The sequence below is a fragment of the Homo sapiens genome, chromosome 16 (assembly GCF_000001405.40).
Source record: "Homo sapiens chromosome 16, GRCh38.p14 Primary Assembly".
NCBI lineage: Eukaryota > Metazoa > Chordata > Mammalia > Primates > Hominidae > Homo > Homo sapiens.
In genome coordinates this window covers 23,964,283-23,989,513 of record NC_000016.10, presented here as the reverse complement: position 1 = coordinate 23,989,513, position 25,231 = coordinate 23,964,283, and the positions used below count along the sequence as shown (strand labels likewise).

Sequence of the window (25,231 nt, the reverse complement as noted above, 5' to 3'; positions counted from 1 at the left end):
ATTTTTTGCACATTTTACCTACAAGCATCTCTTGTCCCACTAGCAGTAGTCATACTTTGAGATTCATGGTAGCAGGATAAATTCATTTCCTCCTCATTCCTGGGCCCTGATATTAGGAACACCCTAACAAGCAGGGTGCACTGGCTCACGCCTGGAATCCCAACACTTTGGGAGGCCAAGGCAGGAGGATTGCTTGAGCCCAGGAATTTGAGACCAGCCTGGGCAACACTCTTAAATAATAATAATAATAGGCCGGGCACAGTGACTCACACCTGTAATCCCAGCACTTTGGGAGGCCGAGGCGGCGGATCACGAGGTCAGGAGATCGAGACCATCCTGTCTAACACGGTGAAACCCCGTCTCTACCAAAAATACAAAACAAAAAATTAGCCAGGCATAGTGGCAGGTGCCTGTAGTCCCAGCTCCTCGGGAGGCTGAGGCAGGAGAATGGCATGAACCCAGGAGGCGGAGCTTGCAGTGAGCTGAGATTGCTCCACTGCACTCCAGCCTGGGCGATAGAGCAAGACTCCATCTGAAAAATAATAAAAATAATAATAACAATAACAAAAGAAAGAACACCCTAACAAAGTGCCATAACGTGCACTGCAAAGTACCACCGAAACTACCTTTTTGCAGCCACACTACCAAGTAGGCCCCTGCCTCTCACCCTCCGTGCTCCAGCTCTCAAAGTGAAGACATTAGCAAAATCATAGTAGACAAACTAGCTGACTTCCTATCCAGCCACACTCCCTCCAAAATTTTGTTTTCCACTAAAAGGAAAACTGTCTCAAAAGCTATAGGGACCACCACATGCCTTAGAGTGAGATCGTCCACACTTACTCGTCTAAGAATGCTCACTCACATTTAATCACAAGGCAGCATTGACTGTGGACAGAGAAAAGCAATCGATGCCCATTACTTACATCGGAGGCTGGACCCTTGTCAGCGCCAGGGCAGGAGAATGTGACAAATTCATGGCACCGCTTGTGCACCACAAAGCAGCAAACTGCAAAAGAGAAAATCAGGGTGGGAGGAAGGGAAGAAGGAAAGCGGAGAGGAGGAAGAGAGAGAAAGGGAGGAAGAGATCATTAAACTTGAACTTCACCAACAAGTAAAGCCTTTATGCCAAAATAAACAATAATGTCAGCTTCTGCAGCTTGTCCTTTGCTGAAGTCAAACTCTTGGGAACATAGATGCTTCATCTTGCATAGGAGTTAAACTTCTAAAGTTAGCTAGGGTTAGAAAGATTCCATATGCTCAAAATTACACTCCCTTGAAGATCCCTTAAAGTGCCTTGTCTTCTATTGATTTTGGAACAGAATGTTGTTTCTTGGATCAGGTGCCAGATGAAGTAGTTGGCTTGTGTTTAGGTGCATAATGCATAAGAAATATGTATCTTTAAATCCTAGAATCACACTTAAGAGAGGTGTTCATACGATGAGGGTCATGTGGAAACAGAGGGGACAGGATGGTGGACTCATGCCCCATCTCACCAAAAGCAACGTCAATCTAATAGAAGAGTGGGAAAAATAGGCAGCAACGTTTACATTGTCACTTTAGTAGTCTGCAAGCAAATACATATATACACACATTTGAATTGGTGTGAATTTAATGCATCTATGGTATGGCTCCCCTATTTGGAGGTTATATCCCTCTGGGGGAGGTACAATGAAAGAATGTATACAAAATAAAACTGCTTTGTTGTTGTTGTTGTTGTTCAAATCATCTTTTACAGTCTTGGTGTTCAAATCTTCTTTTACAACCTCTAGACTGCGGGTTTCTGGAGGACGGGTGCCATGCTTCAGGGAGCAGCTCAGAGCCTTTCTAAAGTGCATGCTTAGTAAATGAAAATAGAACAGGAAACCTCAAGGCCATCCCTAGTGACACAATGAGTCTAGGTGACATTCATCTATGGTTGCTAAGGTCACAAAAAGATACCACTTGCCTACAGAGGAAAGCTCACTTCACTACCTATGAAGTACACTTGTCAAATAATCAAATATGATTGGTTCAAGTCTCTTGATGCAAATACAGATTTACAGAAAATACAAGTGACAGAGGAACATATTAAATGACACCACAGGGATGCGATCAGCAAACACACCCCCCCCCACCCCAACCAAATACCCAGAATGTAGAAAACTACAAGGCAAAGAATATGGTATCTTCAACAAATAGACTACAAGAGAGGACTGCAAGTGGGGAGAAAATAGGACGAGAAACGTATATTTTCAAAGGAATTTAAGAAACATATCAACTAAATTTTTTTAATTTTACTTTAAATTCTGGGATACACGTGCAGAACATTCAGGTTTGTTACACAGGTATACATGTGCCATGGTGGTTTGCTGCACCTATCAACCCATATCAACTAAATTTAACATGTGGACCTTGTTTGGATTCTAAGTGGAAAAAAACCAACAGTTTAAAAAACTGTAAGGCAATCAGGGAAATGGATATACTCACTTTCTGATGACATAAGGGAATTATTGTTACTGATATTAGGGAATGAAAAATATTTGGTGTGATAATGGTCTTGTTTTTCTTTGCTTATAGAATCCTTATCTTTGAGGATACATTAACATCTTTATGGATAAAATAATTTAAAATAATTCAGTATGCCAAGGTGGGGAGAGAAAGGGGAGGATTACAGATGAAAAAGAAATTGATCATGATGGGTCATTATTGAACTGGGTGATGCATACACAAGGATGCATTATACTAATGTTACTTTTATATATGTTTAATTTTTTCCATAATATGAAAAGTTTTCAACAGAGGAAGAGATAGAGAAGTAGAGAAAACCCAAGTCATAAGAAATGGGAGTTGCAGGAGGGTTACAAGATGAAAATGTGCTGAGTCTTATATTCCTCAAAAGATTATTGATATTGAGAAATTGCATATAGGACATTATAAGTTTAAATATACGTGTTAACAATTAAGTATTAAAAATAAGAATAGAAACCGGGTGTGGTGGCTCACATCTGTAATCCCAGCACTTTGGGACACCAAGGCAGGAGGATCACTTGAGCCCAGGAGTTTAAGACCAACCTGGGCAACATAGTGAGACCCCATCTCTACAAAAAATAAAAGATTAGCCAGACATGGTGGTGCATGCCTGCAGTCCAGCTACTCCGGAGGCTGAGGTGGGAGGATCGCTTGAGCCCAGGAAGTTGGGGCTGCAGTGAGCCATGACTGCACCACTGCACTCCAGCCTGGGTGACCTAATGAGACCCTGTTTCAAAAATAAATACATAAATAAATAAAAATATAAAAACTACTATGTATTCCTTTTAAACCACTAAAAGGGAAAACTGGACAAAGAAAGACAGTCCAAGTACACCTCAAACAGCCTTCTTCATGCTCCAAGGTCATATAAATATTACTCTTTGGAGTTTTTTTGTACTTTTATATGGCATCATTTCCACTTTAAACTCTTTGATCCATGTCTAATTTCTTGGAATCTGATGTGAAATGGGAATCCAATTTGCCATTTTTTTCCAAAGAGGTAACCAATTGTCCCAGCATCCTTTATTGAATAATTCATCCCTTCCCCACTGATTTCAAATGCCAACTTTATTATATGTTTAATAATTATATATACTGGGGTCTGTCTTTGGGCCTTCTATTCTGTGCCACTGATCTGTCTTCTAGTATAGCAATATGGGCTTTAATTATAGTAGCTCTGTAATATGTTATATCTTGGCAGGGCAAGTCCACCCTCATTATCCTTATTTTCAACATTTTCTTGGCTATCACTGCATATTTATTCTTCCAAGTAAACTTTAGAATCAGTTTATCAAGATTTTAAAAATACCAATGGAATTTTTATTGGGATTGTATTCAGTCAACCCTCAGCCTCCAAAAAATGATTGGGACTTTGATTGAAATTGTGTTAAATTTAGAAATTAAATTCAAGATAATTGATGCCTTGACAACAATGAGTCTTTCCATCAGGAAATGATTGTCCCCTTGTTGAACTCTTATTTTCTCCATATAAGTCCTACACATTTTCCCTTTAGCATCATCTAAGGGATTCTTTTTTATGCTATTGTAAATTTGACATGTCTTCATTTTGTTTCCCAACTGGTCATTGTTTAAAAATAGGAAAGCAAATAGCTGTGCGCAGTGGTTCATGCCTGTAATCCTAGCACTTTGGGAGACTGAGGCAGGCAGATCACTTGAGGCCAGAAGTTCGAGACCAGCCTGGCCAACATGGTGAAACCCCGTCTCTATTAAAAATACAAAAAAAATTAGCTGGGCGTGGTGGTAGGTGCCTGTAGTAGTCCCAGGTACTTGGAAGGCTGAGGCAGTAGATTGCTTGAACCCAGGAGGCGGAGGTTGAAGTGAGCCAATATCATGCCACTGCACTCCAGCCTGGGCAACAGAGCGAGACTCCATCTCAAAACACAAAACAAACAAACAAACAAAAACAATAGGAAAGCAATAGATTGTTAGCATATTTATTTTAAAGCATTTTTTAAAAAAACTCAAATAGCTTTTGTGGAGTTTTAGTTGCTTCCTTTGAGTTTTCCAGATAGAAAACCGTATTACCCCAAATAATATTTTTATTATTCTCTCTTTTCCCCCTGTCGTAGTTCCATGTTTAACTTTCCCTTTTATTCAACATGAAAGTAAAGGGATGACAGCATAGTCTCGCCCCATCCCTGAGCTTTCCCCAGCTTCACCTCCCTCTCCCTCTCTACACTTCAACCACACAGGAAAGTTTTTCACCTCTACTCAAACAAACTTTTGGAATTTATATTTTCCTTGGAAATTATCCACAGTGTTCTTCTCAACGTGTTTAAATTGTAGCATCTTATCTGGGATGATATTACACCTTTTCTCTTTCTTTGTTTCTTTCTTCATATTGCATTGTTAGGTAGTCTCTCGTTATTTTTTTTCCAGAAGTTTGTGTTCTTTCTTGTCTATTTTTATCTTTCTATCATGTTAAAGAAGCAGATTATGATTATATTTATCAACTCTACCTGGTTTTAGCCTACTTTATTAATTGCTACTTTAACTTTTTTTGTTCTGTGTGTCTGTGATTGTATTGCTTACTTGTATTTGTATTACTTATTGGTTGGGAATGTGAATTCTGGAGTCTGATGATCAGGTGTATATCCTGTGTCTATCATTTGCAAACTCTAAGACTAGGTACACTACCTCATCTTCCTGTACTTCAGTTTCCTCTCTGGAAAATGACAGCAACAATAGGACCCATATCACAGTGGTGTTGTCAGAACTAAATGAGTTATTCCATGCCCAGAACCATGCCAACCATATCATGACTATTCTACAAATGTCAGCTAATATTATCCACTGTTCTTTTTAAAGCTTCTTGAATTGACTGCTCAATTAATTTATTCCCATTCCTCTTCATTAAACATTTAAAGATGTTATGGCTAAAAACCCTCTTTTAAGTACAGTTTTGGCTGCATCCTATGTTTTATATTTAGTCCCATCATTGTATCAAGTTTCTAAGTGGTCTATTAGTATGGTTTTAATTTATTCTTTGACCCAGAAATATTTAGGAAAGTAGTTTCCCCCATTTTCAAGTAGGTGCTTTATTCTACAACCTTTCTTCCAAACATCTAAAATATCAGTTATTCTCTACAAAAAATACAAAAATTAGCAAAGTGTGGTGGCAGGCCCCGGTAATCCCAGCTACCCAGGAGACTGAGGCAGGAGAATCACTGGAACCAGGGAGGCAGAGGCTGCAGTGAGCCGAGATCACGCCACTGCACTCCAGCCTAAGAGACAGAGCGAGACTCTGTCTCAAAAAAAAAAATCAATTATTATCTTATTCATCTTTATCCCCTTTGGAGACAGAAGGGGATAAAGATAGCTCATCTCTAGTCTCCTAGTGTCTACCACAATTCCTGGTACATAATTGATATTCAGTAAATAAATGTTTGGTGAATGAATGAACCAAAAAATGAATATCATCAGTCATAGAAAAAGGAGAAAACATAACCAACTTCATGGTAGATGTAGCTCCTGGATGATCGCCTGACATCCCACCAGCCTGGATATTTGTCAATCCAACCATTGACAAGGTCACTTTAGGTAGGCTTCCAATTACCCACAGAAATGAATAGTCCATCCCCACTGAGGCAGAATCAATAGGCCAAGTGAACCCCAGCATGATGTGCAGAGAAGCTGAGAACAGACTTTGAAAAACCTCATGAGCTTCTGGTGCAGGTAATTCCTTTACACAGTGTGTTTCTGAAAAGTTGTGCAAATCAAATTTCCCATTAACTAAAACACTTTGAAGAAAATAGTAGGGCTGCCTATTTAAAGAAATCAAATCCTTTTGTGACACAAATAAACGCCCCCTCATTTCTATTTGGCAAATTCAGAGTAAGACCAGTTTTTGTTTTCTGTTTTTTTTTTTTTTAAGAAGAGGCAACATTTACTGAGCTACTGAAAAAAATGTACTAGACCCTACTTTCAAACAGGTACCCAGTTAAGAGCCCAGAATCTCCAGATGCTTCATAATTTATTCAATAACCCCTTGCTCTACAAAGGTTGAAAGCCTGCAGCCCTCTGACCCCAGTCTATAGCAAGGCTTTACTAGAACTACAAAATGGGGTCTGAAACTCAAATGCCTAGGGGCCAGGTGAGCAATGAAAATGTCTGACGGCCAGGTAGGGGACTGCACACATGGCCTGTTTAAAAGGGGAAATTGCTACTCAGCTCCAGCAGAGAATGAAAAAGATGTCTCCGGCTCTATCCACCTCCCACCCTCCCTTATTACAGGCAAGATCAGAAAGGCCACCTGCAGCTGAGTGCAGTGGCTCACACCTATAATCCTAGCACTTTGGGAGGTCGAGGCAGGAGGATTGCTTGAGCCCAGGAGTTCAAGACCATCCTGGGCAACATGGCAAGACTCCATCTCTAAAAAATTTTTAAAATTAGCCAGGCTTGGTGGTGGGCACCTGTGGTCCCAGCTACTTGGGAAGCTGAGGTGGGGGGAATTGGTTGAACCCGGGAGGCTGGGAAATCAAGGCTGTAGTGAGCTGTGTTAGCACCACTGCACTCCAGCCTGGGCAACAGAATGAGACCCTGACTCCAGAAAAAAAAGAAAAGAGAAGAGAAGGGGAAGGGAAGCAGAAGCGAAGGGGAAGGGAAAGGCAAGGGAAAGGGAAGGGGAAGGGAAAGGGAAGGGAAAGGGAAAGGGAAGGGGAAGGGAAAGGGAAGGGAAAGGGAAGGGAAGGGGAAGGGAAGGAGAAGGGAAAGGGAAGGGAAGGGAAGGGGAAGGGAAGGGGAAGGGAAGGGGAAGGGAAGGCGAAGGGAAGGGGAAGGGAAGGGGAAGGGAAGAGGAAGGGAAAGGGAAAGGGAAGGGAAAGGGAAGGGGAAGGGAAAGGGAAGGGAAAGGGAAGGGAAGGGGAAGGGAAAGGGAAGGGAAGGGAAAAGGAAAGGGAAGGGAAAGGGAAGGGAAAGAGAAGGGGAAGGGAAAGGGAAGGGGAAGGTGAAGGGAAAGGGAAGTGGAAGGGAAAGGGGAAGTGGAAGGGAAAAGGAAGGGAAAGGGAAGGGAAGGGGAAGGGAAAGTGAAGGGGAAGGGAAAGGGAAGGGAAGGGGAAGGGAAGGGAAGGGGAAGGGGAAGGGAAGGGGAAGGGGAGGGGAAGGGGAAGGGAAGGGGAAGGGGAGGGGAAGGGGAAGGGGAAGGGAAGGGAAGGGAAGGGGAAGGGGAAGGGAAGGGGAAGGGAAGGGGAAGGGAAGGGGAAGGGAAGGGGAAGGGAAGGGGAAGGGAAAGGGAAGGGAAGGGGAAGGGAAGGGGAAGGGAAGGGGAAGGGAAAGGGAAGGGGAAGGGAAGGGGAAGGGAAGGGGAAGGGGAAGAGAAAGGGAAAAAAGGAAGGGAAGGAGAAAAGAAAGGGAAAAAAGGGAAGGGAAAGGGAAAGGAAAGGGAAGGGAAGGGAAGGAAAGGAAAGGAAAAGAAAGGAAAGAAGAAAGGCCACCTGCCAGCTCTGTAGGCAGAATAATGTTCCCATCCCCTACCCCCGACCCCCTGACACCACCACCAGATATCCGTGTCCTAATCCTGGGACCTGTGAATATATTACTTACATGACAAAATTGATTTTGCAGATGTGATTAAATTAAGGATCTTGAGAAAGGGGGTTATACTAGATTATCTGGATGAGCCCAGTGTGATCACAGGGGTCCTTATAGGAGGGAGGGAAGAGACTCGGAGTCAGAGGATGAGACGTGATGATGGAAGCAGAGGTTGGAATTGTGCCATTTCTGGAAGGGAACGCAAGCCAAGGAATGTGGGTGGCCTCTAGAAAAGGTAAGAAACAGATTGTCCCCTAGAGCCTCCAGAAGGAAGGCAGCCCTGCTGACACCTCGATTTCAGCCCCGGAAGACCTGCTGTTCAGAATGTTGACATCTAGAAGTATAAGATAATAAATGTGTGCCATTTTAGGCCAGGAAATTTGTGGTAATTTGTTACAGCAGCAATAAGAAACACTAGATCAGCAAGGATAAGAAACGCCTGGTTAATCCCAGATGGAAGGAGTAGACTGTAGCCAAAAGCTTGGGTGACAGGGGCCCTCTCGGATGTTTCTGCCCCAGGAAAAGCACTGAGATCTCAACTCTGCTTCACACTGCACTTCACCCCTAACTCCCAAATTTTAGTGGTTTACTCTAACCACTAAAATTTACTCATTGCATTCCAAAGAGGACTAAATTAAATCATATATATATATATATTCTGTTTGGAGTCGATTCCCCTCTTGTACACAATTCTTACTGGGGTCTATAGTGGAAAACTGACATTCTTAGGAAGCAACCTTTACCCTTAAATCCATGTCAATCTGGGATAGAAATTCTAGCGCTAGTTGCAGATATCTGTGGTAGGAGAAGAAATGAGAAGCCCATCACCTACAGGAATTACAGGCTAAGTTTCTGGAAGCAGGAGGACCTTCGTTTGAACACTCATTTTACTACCTATAAGCTGAAGGACATTAGCTCAGTGTCTCCACCTCTCTGAGCCTTATTTTATCACAGTACCTATGTATATAAGGTTGTTGTGCAGCTCAAATAAGACAACACATGCAAACTGTTTGGTGGAAAAGGGCATTTAAGTTGGAGCCACTGGCATGCAGATTTTGCTCTACAGCTGCTGGGAGAACCACTCTTTCCTCCTAGGTCAAAGCTGACCCACAGACTTATCCGCATTAAACTCTACCAAGTACCTAAGATGAAGTGGGGTTCCCCCAGGCAATTTCCCGAACTGTTTCCATGATCAAAGACAGAAAGTTCTGGTCACCATTTCTGCCCAATGGCTGGTCTCACCAGCACTAAGAAGAGTGACTCACAGGGTCATGCTATTGAGTTTGCAAAGGGCTTTCATATCCGTGCTTAACCTGAGCCTCATCACAGTCCTGTGAGGAAGGTGCTATGATTCTCATTATATCTTTTATAGAGACAAAGTCTTGCTCTGTCACCCAGGCTGGAGTGCAATGGTGCAATCACAGCTCACTGTAGCCGCAAACTCCTGGGCTCAAGTGATCCTCTGGCCTCAGCCTCCTGAGTAGATGGGACTACAGGCATGCATCACCATGCCTGGCTAATTTTTTAAGTTTTTTCTAGAGACGGGATCTCACTATGTTGCCCAGGCTGGTCTCAAACTCCTGACCTCAAGTGATCCTCCTGCCTTCGGTCCTCGTTATATTAACAGGGACACTGATGCTCGGAGAGAAGTAATTTGCCCAAGGTTGTTCAGCTAGTCCGTGTTAACACTTGTATTTGAAACCAGTTTGTCTTCCTCTAGAGCCCACACTCTCAACTCACACAGTGCAGTTACATGTGTGTTTGTCATTCATCTCACTGTTCCAGGAGAAAGCCTCCCCCGCTTTCCTCACCCCCGCCATTCAGTCAGTTGCTAAATCCCACTGATTCTTCCTTCGCAACACCTTTTATGCCATATCTTCCTGTACATTCCCCCCGACTCCCACAGCCTGTGATTTCCCCCACAGGCATGGAATTTTACAATAAAGCCTTAACTGGTGTCCACAGAGATTGCAGTTGCCTTGATATCTCATCCCTATGAGCCCAAGTTTCCATAAACACAAAGGATCTAAATCCACCGAATGGCACATGAGTGTTAACAAAAATCTAAATGAGATTTTACGTGTGAATGCCCAGCACCAGGGGACAGCAGAAGGTATATTCTCAATGAAGGTTCATTTATTTCCTTCCAGGATGGAAGGATTCATGGTACAAGCTCTACAGCTGAGCTGCCTGGATTCTACACCGTGTGCCACTGTTGATTAGCTGTGTGACCTTGAATATGCCCATTGTCTTTGCTGTGTCTCATTTTCTAGTCTATAAAATAGGGACAATGATAGTACTTTCCTCATAGAGTTGTTATGAGGAATAAGTGAGTTATCTTAGCACAGTGTGTGGACACAAGAAGTGCCTAATAGATGCTAAGAAGTGTCAATATTATCCCTACCTACTTCTGCTCACCCCATGCGGCCTGTACACTCCTGGAAAAATCACCTTCTGAAGATTCAGCTTTGATATTATTTCCCTGCTCCAACACATCCACTGCTATTGCCTAAATCTGCAGCGCCCAGTGTGGTAGCTACCAGCCACATGGAGCTATGTAAAAGTAAATTAATTAAATAAAATCTAAAATGCCAATAAAAATCTTCATTCATGCCAGCTACTTTTCAAGTGCTTGATGCCACATGCGTCTGGAGACAACATTGGATAGTACAGATATAAGAAATTTCCAGCACCATAGAAAGTCTTATTGGACAGCAGTAGCCTAAAGGTTAAAGTTCAAAATGCTTAGCCCGGCATCTACCCACAGTATACCCCACCATCTAACTTGACTCTCATCTCTTGTCACTCCACTGCCCCACACTCCAGCCAGGCGGCATTAACCATCCATTTCCATGATGTATTTTACACATTCCCTATTGTGCACATCTTTTCCACAAACAAATCAATACCCACAGCCCATCCCATGCAGTCCACAAATGAAACTTAAAGCAAAGGAGCTTGGTTTTCCAGCCAGCAGACAGAGGGCCAGATTGGAATAGAAATGGCACATTCCACAGGACACTTCAGCTCAGCATCCCTGCAGGACAGACGACAGTTCACTCATCCTACCTACCTTAACACAGGGGTGACAAACGCAAATGCCTGCAGAGGCTAGGCCTGTGACTGAGTGATGCAAGGCTGGTGTGACACAGAAGGGAAGGGATATGGGGGGACTGCGCTGAACTGAGGGGCATATGCCCTTCCAAGGGACACTCAGCTCTAGCCAACAGTGGCCCTGGGTTCACTGGTCCAGAGTCGTGAAATAGGATTTTTTTAAAAAGTTCTGTACAGGCCATCCAAACACATCTAAGTGCTGCCAGTTTATAAGCTCTCTTAGCTGGTCATTCGGCCTCAAATATTTACAGCTTGGTTGTATGAATTTCTGTGTTAAAATATCCCCAATCTTAGAATGGAGATAAGACCACCAATTTCACATACGGTTGTGAAGGTGAGATCAGATTCACGTGCCTACCACGTGCCTGGCTTATACCTAATTCTTACTAAAAATGTGAGCGAATGAATGAATGAATGAGCTCTTCTGGTCTCTCCCACACTCGGAAACCACTCATTGCAGCTGAGTAGAGGAGGGCAAGCAGAGACCACGGGCAGGGAGATGGTTTGTGTGAATCTGTGGGCAGCCGGCCCCAACACAGACAAGCTAGAGTTCAGGGGTCATCTTACAGCCCTGTCTGGCCAGCTTTCAGTACACAGTGAGCATTTATGCTTGTGGCTTCAAAATTCCAACATTACAAACGAGTATACAGTTGAGAATCACCACTGTACTTCATCACTGGAGAGAACCGTTCTTTCCAGTCTCCTGTGTATCCTTCTAGAGACGTTCTCTGTATGCGCGACCACATGTGTGAGGCTATCTGTAGGTACGGACTGAGATATTCCCTACTTCAGTTTTCTTTTTTTATCTAGATCCCTGCTGTTTTGCCCATATACAATTCTACAGCACTAGTTCTCAGTCCTGGCTCCCCAGGAGTCACCAGGGAGCTTTTAAAATGAAAAGTGCTCAAGTCCCACTCCCAGAGATTCTGATTTAATGGGGCTGTGAGGAGAGGGTGGTGGGCAGGCATCAGTACGTTTTAAAAGCTCCTGGGTGATTTGAATGTGCTTGGGAGAGCTGAACACTGCTACTCTGAACGCACCTCCACCACCTGCTTTTCCCCACACTAACACATCTGGGAGGGTCTGTTCCATCTCCATATGTAGAGAATAACCCCATTCTGTTTGCACAATTGCATCTGTTCCACCGTATAGAGGTCCTTCCTCTAATTTGCCCAGTCTTATGGGAAACTCTTAAAGTTCTGATGGTGATTATTTCTTCCTGGAAGAGGGGAGGAAGAGATAGCAAACTTCATTTGCTTATTCACAGCCCAGCACTAAAAAGGAAAAACAAAAGAAAGAGCAGTAATTTTGCAGTGGTCAGCAACTGCCGGAAAAGACTGTTTTCCTTTATAATGTTACCAAATTTATTTAACTAAGCAAGATAAAACAGTTGAGCCAACATGAGGAAAAGAACAGGCCTGAGAAGTAAATAAATCCACCAGAAGAAAGCTGCCCCTACCCTTCCCTCTGCAGTAACAACCCTGGGAGAGCCAGACCCTGAGCAGAACACCTGCTGGGGACATCCTTCCTGTTTGGGTGGCACGTGGAGACTGTCCTTGACCCCATGACTTCCCGCTTTTGATCAGGCCCCCAAAGATGCAGAGAGCAGGACACAATGCCATGGTCTAAGGGGATGACACATCAATATCTCTTCACTCACCAGCCATATCCAGCAGCAGATTGCTCAGACCAGAAGCAGGCCTAACCCCAAAACCAAGTGTGGTGGCATGTCTTGTTTCTGCCTGACAGCACCCATCCTCCATGCTTCTCCTGTGAGGAATCGCTCTTCACTGGCTCACTGATTGTGTGGGCCAGCTAAGGCTGCCCTCATCCTCTGGCTCTAAGGGTGGACATGGGACCTGGGCCACAGTGGGGATTCAGGCATGGGCGTGTGACTCAGGACACCCAAAGAGAATCAGCTTCAGGACTTTTGCTGGAATTATTAGGAAAGAGGGTTTATTTTCCAGCAGAGTTGTTAAACTGGTAGGGAATAAATTTGCATCTGCCATCCGTTTTTGGGGGGGCGGTTTTTGTGGGTTTTTTTGAGACAGAATCTCACTCTGTCACCCAAGGTGGAGTGCAATGGTGCGATTATGGCTCACTGCAACCTTGAGCACCTGGATTCATGCAACTCCCACTTAACATCCCTAGTAGCTACTACAGGTGCACACCATTACACCTGAATTTTTTTTTCTTTTGTAGAGATGGGGTCTCACTAGGTTGACCAGGCTGGTTTCGAACTCCTGGCCTCAAGTGGTCTTCTTGCCTCAGGCTCCCAAAGTGCTGCATCTGCCATCTTTACCATCACCAAGGAAAAGTTTTTTTGAGAATGAAGCCAACACAGAGAAAAGCTGAGCCAAGAGATGCCCCATGACCATGCTGGAGCACCTAAATCCAGCCAGACCTAAAGAACTCTCAACTCCTCTGTACAAGCCAATAAATGCCTCTTTTCCTAAACCAACTTGAATTGTTTTTTTTGTCTCTTGTGACCAAAGGAGTCCTGACTAACAAACCAAATGTGAGAAGTTGAAGGGTGGGCCGTGGGGGCCCTTATTTCTCTTGTGCTTCGTACGTTCCTATAAGTAAGCCTTTATTATTATTATTTAGGAGCTTGGTGTTACTAGCACTCAATTCCATCAGTCCATACTGGTGAATTCAGGAAAGTTGAGATACAGAGTTTCATCCTTCCCTTAATTCCTTTAGATATTGCAGAAGACGTAATGCACCTAGGAGTTTCAGTGGGTGTTCAGGCGTGGGCGTGTGACTCAGGTCACCCAAAGAGAGTCAGCCAGGAACTATGAGGTTTGACAGGTCTACTGTGCCCATGAGTGTCTGTTACTTGGGCATCTTCTCAGTAGGTGCCTTTAGGATAGGCACATCCACCTCGCTGATGCAACAGCGATTTAGACCCTTTGCTACTACCAGCATCCTCCCCTTGCTGGTAAAGCAGAGGCCACAGAGCCACAAGCCACACCCTTTGTTGACATGACAAGGAGTGACAGCCACCAAATTGTGCCTCCTGAGGTGGCATAATCTCTGGGCTACCTTGAAGCCCAGAGACAAATGCGTGTCAATCCCAGGCCCCCAACTCACTCTAAAATAGGCAAATGGAAAAAGCTTAATCCCCAGCCAGGAAAAACACTAGCAACAATTCTGCAACGAGGAATGACTTGCTAAGTGAATACTGCAAAAATCACTGAATCATACACAGGACCATGGAGACTACAAAAAGTGTCTGTTGGCTTTGCCTGCCCAGCGTCCACTCCCTTTTCTCTGGTAGCTGGAATGTTGTTTTTCTTTGGGAAGCCATCCTTTCTCCACGGTATGCAGTCCTGGTGGGGCTGTCAATCGAGGTGCCCGGCTTTCCCCTTGCACATGACTGAACCTCACAACATTGGGGAATCACACTGTTCTCCCTGGGATTTGATTCTTGGGACAAGGACAGAAAACAGCTGGAGCTGATTCCTCCCGATGGTGTCACCCTGTGAAGGTCATCCATTCGCTCCTGCCACCCAGATCCCCAGAGCCACCCTGGGCCCTGTACTCTCTGAGGCCTGGCACCACTCGTGTGCCAACCCATAATATTTCCAGTTTTTTTTTTCCTTTAGATAACTAGAGTTCTTTTGTGTGCTTACAAATGACAAAAGAACCTGAACCAATCCAGACACCTAATCTCACCCCAGATTGATGCAAATATCTTTTCCATGACATCCCCAAAGGATGGTCACCAAGCAGCTCCCTGCACTCTTCCAGGACGAGGGGTTCTCTGCCTCCTAAGGACAGCTCTGACATTAGAGTTCTTCAACTGCGCAGAAGTCGGCCTGCCTCAGTCCTGATCCTGCCCTCTTGGCCCCTTCCTCCTCTCCTTGGCTCCTCCTCCTGTTCTCCAGCCCTTCCCTATCCTAGAGGAAGTTCTCGAGGCTCTGTCCTAGGTGCTGATCTCTACCCTGTGGACTCTCTCTCACTGAAGCATCTTGTCAATCCAAGGGACTTCAGGAATTCTATTCCTGCTGGTCCCTCTCAGTCCTGTGCTCCTCCCTGAACCCCACACCTCTCTGTCCACCTGTCTCCTCAGCACCACCATTCAGATGAACAGAACATGCCCCAAGCCAAGTTCTCATTCTTCTGCCTCATTTCTCAGGATGTGCCTGCATCCCTTACCCTGGGACTCACCCTTCTCTCCTCCCTCACCACCACCACCACTCACTTCCAAACACTAATTCTGTTCAGTCTAGCCCCTAATTATCACCCAAAACCAGCCCCCTGCCCTGAGCAAATATATATATATGAGACCTCATATCTCTGGTCTCTGACACTTGATTCTTGTTTAACTCCTATCATCCTTCAGATATCAGATTAAATATCATTTCCAGCTGGTCAGAGTGCCTTACGCCTGTAATCCCAGCACTTTGGGAGGCCAAGAAAGGTGAATTGCTTGAGCCCAGGTGTTTGAGACCAGCCTGGGCAACACAGCAAAACCCTATCTCTGCAAAAACACAAAACAGTAGCGGGGCAAGGTGGTGCATGCCTGTACCCAGGTAGCTGGGGTGGGAGGATCACTTGAGCCCAGGAGGTCGAGGCTGCAGTGAGCCGTGATCATGCCAATGCACTCCAGCCTGGGCAACAGAGTGAGACCCTGTCTCAAAAAAAGAAAAAAAATATATTATTTTCTTGGGGATTAAATATCACTTCTGTCCTGACGTGCCAATCTAGGTTTAACATGCTCACTGTATGTTCCCATTTGACTTAATGTCTCCAAGTCACTTTGTTATTTTCAACCATAAAGTAGGAATAAAAAGAGTACCTACTCATAGAGTTGCTGGGATTAAATGTGACAACACATTAAAAACACTGAAAGAGGCCGGGCCCGGTGGCTCACGCCTGTAATCCCAGCACTTTGAGAGGCCGAGGCAGGTGAATCACCTGAGGTCAGGAGTTAGAAACCAGCCTGGCTAACATGGTGAAATCCCCATCTCTACTAAAAATACAAAAATTAGCCGGGCGTGGTGGCGGGTGCTTGTAATCCCAGCTACTTGGGAGGCTGATGCAGGAGAATTGCTTGAACCCGGGAGGTGAAGGTTGCAGTGAGCCAAGATTGTGCCACTGCACTCCAGCCTGGGCAACAGAGTGAGATTCTGTCTCAATAAAAATAAAAATTAAAAAGAAAAAAATCATTTCACTGAGGATTAAATATCACTTCCGTCCTGACCTGCCAGTCTAGGTTTAACATGCTCACTGTATGACCCCATTTGACTTAACATCTCCAAGCCACTTTATTATTTTCAACCATGAAATGAGAATTAAGAGTACCTACTCATGGAGTTGCTGGGATTAAATGTGACAACACATTAAAAACACTAAAAGAAAAAACTAAACCTTAACACCATAATAGGCACTAGCTCATCATAAATATTAGCTATTACTATTGTTGTTGCAAATAATAAAAATATCTTTCCCTCCCAGACTGTTAACTCCATTAAATCAGAGGAGCCATATGTTTTGTTCACTACTGTCTTCCTAATACTGACACATAACAGGAGCTCAGTATTTAATTGGCTGATTGGTTGTGATTTAAAGCTCACGACTGTAGACCACACTCTCCCTCACTTTTCTCCCCAATGTTTCCCCTTCACCAGGCTAAACATTTTCATTTCCTCCCAATACATTTTAGTTATACAAGACAAAACCTTCTCACCATCATGCTAGATGCCCTTAGACAAGGTAAACTCATAGCAAAAAGGCCTTCGTATGGGAGACTTTCCATTTGCTTTCTTTTTTATTTAAATAAGACAGTGAAGGGGAAAACCTAAGTACAGGAAAAAATTAAAAACTGAAAGGAAATAGATAAAATGTGGATGGTGGTGGTTGTCTCTAGTTAAAAGGACTTTCAGGATTTCTTTTTCTTTTTACAATTTTGCATTCTCTGATATTTAAATATAATAAAGCAAATACAAATTTTCATATACCTGAACTTCATGAGGCATACTTTGATACAAGACAATACAAATGTATTATACGCATGTACCACCAAAATTGAGATACAGAGCATGGGCACCACCTAAAAAGTTTCCCTGTACACACCCCCAGCCTGTGGTAGACACTGATCCACTTTCTGTTACTATATAGATTAATGGCCTCGTACAGTATGCACTATTTTGTGTCTGCCTTCTTTCACTTAAAATAATGTTTTTGAGACTCGCGCATGCACGTGTCTGTATTAGCAGTTAGTTCATCTTTACTGCTGAATAATATTCCATTATATGATTATTCTAAAGTTTGCTTATCCATTCATCTACTGATCAATATTCTGGGGTTTTTTTAACAGTATCTGGTTATTATGAATAAAGCTGCTATGAACATTCATTTATAAGTCTTAATTTATTCATTCATTTTTTGTGTGGGCATACAATTTAATTCCTCTTGGATAAATACCTAGGAGTGGAATTGCTGTATCATACTGTAACTCTATGTTTAACTTAATAAGAAACTGCCATTGTTTTGCAAAGTGGTTGTACCATTTTTTAAAGGAAAACAATCCAACACATTATCTTATAATATGTTTTGCATTCTAGATGTTCAATTAAAGACATTTAACTGTGGAAAACTGTTCTGCACCTAAAGCTAAAGGTATAGTCCCATGAAATGACGTAACAGGGGCAAGTAAGAGAGGAAACCCTGAGAGATGGGCAACCTCGCGGGGGCTAGCATCACAGAGCGGGGCCAGAGATGGACAGAGGGAGCTGCAGGTGGAAATACCCCAAACTCTCTCTCCTCCCACCTTCTCGTCTCTTGCTGCCACCTCCCTTTGGCTTAACTCAGACAAAAGTCAACCAGCAAGGGAGTCCAGGAGATACAGTCCACAGGGGTCTACCTCCTGGGACACAGAGTAGGACAAAGAAGGCAGGAGAATGCTGGTCCCAGAGGAGGGACCAAATGGAGAGGAACCATCACACCATCCGTCCTCAAAGGGGAGGAGAGAAGGAGCACGTAGGAAACACTCCCAGAGGCCAACACTTGTAAACCAAACCCCAATATGAATTTCTGATGGCGATCACGATTGCCCGCTACACCTACAACATGTACTTCATCCACAGGGAATTTTTCTGTTGACAATGGGTCAGTTTTGATTAGAGCTGATCGATGGAGATGGTGACAATGATGGTAACTACTGCCACGGCTTCTAATAAAAATAATACTAAAACAGTAGTGAATACTTCATTGCATATTTACTGTAACTCAAGCACATGCTAAGAATTTATAGAATTATCTCATGTATATGTAACCTTCACAACCATAGAAAGTACATCTACTATAATCCCCACATTCCATTTATGCATGAGGAAAACTAAGCCAGAGGCCCAGAAAATCTGCCCATGGACTCTAGAGGTTGGTCAAGCCCTGACCACTACTCTGTACTGCCTCCCTCAGAGGAGAGTCCAATGACTCAGCCTTCAATCCAGCTCCAGCATTCACCTCCTGTGTCATTATGGATAAGCCACTCTGCACCTCAGTCACCTGTTTATGAAATGGCAGTGCTACCTGTTCATCCTCCCCTTGGGACTATTGTGACTATTTAACACAAGACAGGGGTTCAGCAAACACCTTTTGAGCCCCAGGGGCCCTGTAACACCACAATCTCTAAACCTCTCAACAACCCTGAAAGTGTGATCGTGATTCCTTTTAAATAAAGCATTGGAAAGATTTAGCTACTCACTGAAGAAGAAGAGGGATTTGAATTCAGGTCTACCTGACTCCAAAGTCATATTCTGCCCTTTGAAGAAAAATGGGAAGGCTGAATGAAAGTAAAAAAAGTGAGGGTTTGGTGCCTTCACTCTTAGACCCACATTTCGCACACAATTCGGTCTGGCTCCAGTATCTGCCTGCACATCAGCACACAAAAGCCTGGAGCTCCCAGGTGGCACCAACCCACCTCACTCTGTCCTCAGGTGCTTTCCCCTGCAGAATCCTGTAGCTCAGAGCCCAGGTGGTGCTCTGGGACAACCGCCCACTCCACTGGCTGCATCATCTTCCGCTCTTGCAGAGTGTATGTACAAATGAGGGTGAAGGAGTGTTACTACCCTTTGGTGCCTTCTTGGAGATGACATTAACCTTGGACAACTCCACTGATTTCCCAAGAAATCCAGCAAGGTCCAAATACAAACACACAAGCTGCCTGCAGTCTCTTAACTCAGCCTTCTTGTCACGTTTTAATACCCTGTCATTTGAGCAACACTCATCCTCCATGCACTTTGAAATCTCTTTTGCTTTAGATGCTGCCAAAAGGTTTCAATTTTTCTGTACTGGCATTGACATGATGTAGAAAGGAACATGTGAGCCATGAGGGCTCAAAAATAGCCTGGAACTTTTCAAGGAAGGGGCCTGTAGTGGGATGACAGGCAAGCTATTCTGCATAACAAAGCACTCTGTCCCTGGAGTCAGGCACAAGCCCACCCTTCCCCACGTACACACACACACACCTATCAATCACTCCCTGAAATATCATATCTGTGGGAGGATGAGAAGATAATGGTATGATCAATGAAGTTCCCGAGAGGCCTGGTGGCATGGACTTCATCCCACAGAGAATTTTTCTATTGACAATGGGTCAGTTTTGATTTGAGCTGATCCATGGAGATGGTGACGATGATGATGATAATGATGATGATGATGACGATGATGGCAATTACAATAGCTAACATCTATTGATTGTCTACTATGTGTTAGACACTGTGTTAAGCTCTTTACGTAGATTAACTCATTTTAATCCTCAGAACCCAATGAGGTAGAAACTACTAACATCCTCATTTTACAGATGAGAAAATAAGGCATGAAAAGTTAAGTAACTTGACTGTCAGTGGCAATCAGGACTGGAAACCAGCTCTCAATAGACTCCAATACAGGCACATGCATGCGTGAGTCTCAAAAACATTATTTTAAGTGAAAGAAGGCAGACACAAAATAGTGCATACTGTACAAGGCCATTAATCTATAGTAACAGAAAGATCAGTGTCTACCACACTGATGGACTACCACAGTGTCCACCTACTTGGTTCTAGGGTCTTTGCTCTTAGCCACTACACATTCACTTTAAACTCCCCATGGAAGATGCAACCATTCCCAGTGGGCCCCACTGCAGGGGAAGGAGGAGAATGTCTTTTTGGTTTTGGTTTTTGAGACAGGGTCTCACCCTGTCGCCCAGGCTGGAGTGCAGTGGCGCGATCTCAGCTCACTGCAACCTCCGCCTCCCAGGTTCAAGCAATTCACTTGCCTCAGCCTCCTGAGTAGCTTGGATTACAGGCACCCACCACCACATCCAGCTAATTTTTGTATTTTTAGTAGAGATGGGGTCTCACCATGATGGGCAGGCTGGTCTCGAACTCCTGGCTTCAAGAGATCTGCCCACCTGAGAATGTCTCTTGATACTGAAACTGAAGCCCTTTCTCAGGACCTTTAGCTCCTAGAAACGGTTTGAAACCCACACTGAATCTCAGCATTTATGAGTACTTAATATTGACCAGGCCCTTCCCTTCGAGAGTACATGAGCCACCCAATAACCTTCCAAGGTCAGTTATCTCATTCTCCTCCACTTTCAAGGTAGGGAAGCTGAGAGTTACGTGCTGCTTGTTCCTTGTTTCACCTCTCAGATCCATTTTTTTCTCTCTGATTCTGCTGTGAGCTGAGCCCCAAAAGGCTGACCCTTACAGAATTCATCATCTGGTCCTTCTGGTTTCCAGCTGGGTTCAGCCAGTGGGTGAGGCCAACAGGCAATGGGAGAGGTGAAGAGAAGCTGGGGTGTTTCTTCCCCCTCTTCCTCCCTGCCTCGGTACTGCTATTTGGGAAGCGGTTCATCCCTCCAGGACCATGGTTCCTGCTGGCGATGCCTTCCTTCTTAGCCCCAGCTCTCAATAGGCTCCAAACTATTCCCTCCGCTTGCTTCTTCCTCTTTACAGACGGTAACCGCCTCCTGCTGTTGCAAGGCCCTAGGTGCTTCCACATTCCTTATTTGTAATCTTAACCTTGCCCAAGTCTCCCTAAATAGTCCTTTCATGAAACTTTCTTCTTGCAGCCACCTGAATGGTTCTATTTCCTGCAGGGTCCTGACAACCTCAGGGGTGGAGGAACTTGTCCACAGTCACACAAGTCAGTAAAGGGCAGATAGGGCAGGTAGGTTTGAACCTAGATTCCATCATCTCAAGCATGCTTCCTTCAGAGCAGAAGGCACAAACTCAAAGACCCACAAAGGCCAGGCCAGTAAGCATAACTAAGTCAGGCAAGTGGGTAAAGCACAACAGGGAGTGGTGGGGCTTGGGGAAAACCAGAGAGCATGCACCCCACTGAGAGGCAACCACATGTAAATTTAAACAAGCACTTCAAAGACACCATAAAAGGCCCGGCGCAGTGGCTCACGCCTATAATCCAAACACTTTGGAAGGCCACGGCAGGTGGACCTCACTTGAGGTCAGGAGTTCAAGGCCAACCTGGCCAACAAGGCAAAACCCTGTCTCTACTAAACATACAAAAATTAGCTGGGCATGGTGGCGGGTGCCTGTAGTCCCAGCTACTCGGGAGGCTGAGGCAGGAGAATCTCTTGAACCTGGGAGGTGGAGGTTGCAGTGGGCCGGGGTTGTGCCATTGCACTCCAGCCTATGTGACAGAATGAGACTCTATCTCAAAAAAAGAAAAACAAAAACAAAAAAGAGGAAAGAAAGAAAGAAAAAAGAAAAAAAGACACCACACAAAAATTTCCAAGGAATTTCACCACTGCCTCTCCAAAAACCTCCTGCTGTTAGGAATTGTTCCTGATAGCAACCTAAACTTCTTTTCTCAATCCCATTCTCAATCCTTCCCACACAAGCTTTTAAATTACTTCTCCACTTTGAAAAGATTCAGGCAACAGAGATCATTAATTTTCTGGCTTCAAAGGTGGCTGTCCTGACCCAATGCATTTTCTCCACATCACCATCACCACCCTATCGCCCCCATGGGTGACTATGAGGAAGCTGCTTCCATCCTTTTGTCTTCTGCTGTCAGGGGGCTGGGAACCCAGCCAAGGCCACCATCCAAAAGGAAGGATAAGAGAAGGAATATTCTAACTCACTGCCTGGTGGCAGCGTCATCTGCTCTGTGGGCAGAAAAAGCCACAATAACCTCCACGCAGGAGAGGGAGGAGGCGCCCTCCACACCAACGACCTTGAAATCCGACCAGCTGCTGATTTGCAGGGCAGAGACAGGCCTCCTCCCAGAGCAATTAGAGGAGTGTCTTAAGGCAGGGGCTGCAAACTGGCTCTTGGGTTCACAGCATGTACTGTGCTTTAAAAAAAAAAAAAAATGGAAACCACTGCCAATTCTTAAGCTAGGAGAGTTCACGGTTTTTACAAATCCAGGTTTCCGGCTTTTCTTACAGAAAAATCAGAAGTTTTGTCAGCAGTGGGCCCACATTCTCATGCAGCAACAGAGTCATCAGAGCTTAGTCCACTACAACATCAACTCCAAGGGGGCAGGGAATTTTGCCCGGTTCATTCTCTGCTGTGTCCCCAGATGCAGAACAGGGCTTGGCACACCAGTGTATATGTGATGCATGAATAAGGAATAGTTCCCCTTTCAGACAGCCTTGCATTCTCTAGTTCACAGAAATCCACACCTGATTCAATTCACTCATGTAAGTCCCCTTCTAGTCTCCTGCAGATGGTTGGGCTTGAGACACCCAACTTAAAGGGATTTAAAGGCAGGCGAGACACAATCCTTGCTCCTCTGAAACAAACTAGAGGGATTTTAGATTCGAAGGGATAATAATAATAATCACTTATAGAAAAGCTACTATGCAGTACACTGTTGTAAATACTTTCCACATATTGGCTCCTTTAATCCTCTCTACAGCTATGTGGTAGGTCTTATTATTATCCTTATTGTACTGAAGAGGAAACTGAGGCACTGAGAAAGAAGGTAACTTGTCCAAGATTACACACCAGAAAGAGGTGAAGGCAGCATTCAAATCCAGGCAGTCTATTCAAATCCAGGCCAGAACACATGAAAAAGAAACATCTGATGGTAGAGGAGGAAACCGTAAGGCAATAAAGTCTCCAGGGCTCCAGTCCTCAGAGCCTGAAAGAAGCCCCTCCCAGGGCAAGAGATGGAACTGTGACTTCATGGTTGGAAGCAGTTACAAACTGGATTCATTTAATGCATCTTTGACTTAATTGGATGTGAAGCCACTTTGCGCAGACGTTCCATGAGAAGCCATCTCAGAAGGTGCTTCAAGAGCAGAGTTTTGCTCAGCCTCTAGCTTAATGGCCCTCTTACCCCATGGCCCTCTTGGTTTTGCTGTAACGAATGTGTAAAATCACAGATGGTCTCAACTCCAGCTTCATAGACTGAAGTGGCCAAGAGAGAGATCATTCAAACTTGGCTGATCTACTTGGACTCAAGTGACACTGGGGCAGAGCTTTGTGGTGCCACAGCACCAGAAATGAAGCTTCAAGCCCCAGGGTGCCACAAAGCAGCTGAAGCTGGCAGTTGGTGAAGAAGAGAAGCAGGAGCTGAACAAAAGTCAGGCTGTGGGACAGAGAGAGGAGGCATCAGCGCTGCACTTTGGCAGCTCCCGGAGAAGGCAGGATGGTAGAGGGGACAGCTTAGAAAATACACAGATGACTTCAGCTGGAGCTCCAAGTCTACACTTTCACAGCGATGTTGCATTTTGATGAGGCACTTTCCTTCTACAGGGCTGTCTCCTCATCTCTACAATGCGGCCGATCTAATTTTCATATTTGTTCATAGAAATTCATCATTGATGATTATTGATTATTGATTTATATGTAATTGATTCCTAACTCATCCATTCATTGCTCAACAAACATGTCCTGAATGTCTATTATGTGCTAGGCACTGCTCCAGATTCAAGAGTAAGTGATGCAATAGCAAAGACAAGAAATCAACGGAGGTGCCCATCCACGGTGCATGGGATAAAGAAAATGTGGTATATAAACACCATGGAATACTATGCAGGCATAAAAAAGAATGAAACCATGCTCTTTGCTGCAACATGGACGCAGCTGGAGGCCACTATCCTAAGTGAGTTAATACAGGAACAGAAAACCAAATGCTGCATATTCTCACTTATAAGTGGGAGCTAAACATCAGGCACTCATGACACAAAGAAGGGAACAACAGACACTGAGACCTCCTTGAGGGTGGAAGGTGAGGATCAAAAACTACTATCAGGTACTATGCTCACTACCTGGGTGATGAAATCATTAGTACACCAAACTCCAGGGACATGCAATTTACCCATGTAACAAACCTGTACATGTACCCCCTGAACCTGAAACTGAAGCTGGAAGAACAAAAGGAGGTAAGTGATGAACAAGACTCATGAGACCAGGCATGGTAGCTCACACCTGTAATCCCAGCACTTTGGGAGGCCAAGGCGGGTGGATCACTTGAGGTCAGGAATTCAAGACCAGCCTGGCCAACATGATGAAACCCTATCTCTACTAAAAATACAAGAATTAGCGGGGAGAGGGGGCAGGTACCTATAATCCCAGCTACTGGGGAGGCTGAAGCAGGAGAATCACTTGAACCCCAGGAGGCAGAGGCTGCAGTGAGCTGAGATCGCGACACTGCAGTCCAGCCTGGGAGACAGAGCAAGACTGCCAAAAAAAAAAAAAAAACCTCATGAGGTGTTTGCCCCCTGGAAGTGACAGTACAGAATTCCAGTCCCAGTTTTCTCATCTCTAGGACAGGGATAACAATACTTACCTTAAAAGGTTAGGTGGAGAACAAAATGTATATTATTTTCAATAAATAAAAAGTTCCAAACATGTATTTAACCTTACCAAGAGCCAGGCAATGTTCTAGACCAGAGGCTGACAAACTTTTTCTTCAAGGATAAGAGACTGAGTATTTTAGGTTTTGCAGGCCACATGGTCTCTGTCACAACTACTCAATTCCATCCTTGTAGCGCAAAGGCAGCCATAGATAAGGCATAAACAAACAGGCACAGCTGTGTTCCCACAAAATTCTGTGTGTATGAATTCAGTCCATGGATCCACAAGCCACAGCG

At 44.4% G+C, this 25,231-nt stretch overlaps 1 protein-coding gene across 3 annotated transcripts in view, besides 1 other annotated feature; it reads right to left on the bottom strand.

Moving 5' to 3' along the window:
• PRKCB (protein kinase C beta) overlaps nucleotides 1-25,231 on the bottom strand; it is a 384,629-nt gene that overhangs the window by 231,098 nt on the left and 128,300 nt on the right. For all 3 annotated transcript variants that reach the window (NM_002738.7, NM_212535.3, XM_047434365.1), the window contains one exon: nucleotides 924-1,006. In NM_002738.7, the coding sequence (NP_002729.2) occupies nucleotides 924-1,006 (83 nt within the window). The remainder of the gene's footprint in view (nucleotides 1-923; nucleotides 1,007-25,231) is intronic.
• Nucleotides 21,403-21,532: an enhancer, noted in NCBI's record as "active region_10594". NCBI's record gives its function as "activates an Ori minimal core promoter by ATAC-STARR-seq in GM12878 lymphoblastoid cells {active_cell/tissue: GM12878}" and the evidence as "EXISTENCE:reporter gene assay evidence [ECO:0000049][PMID:35858748]".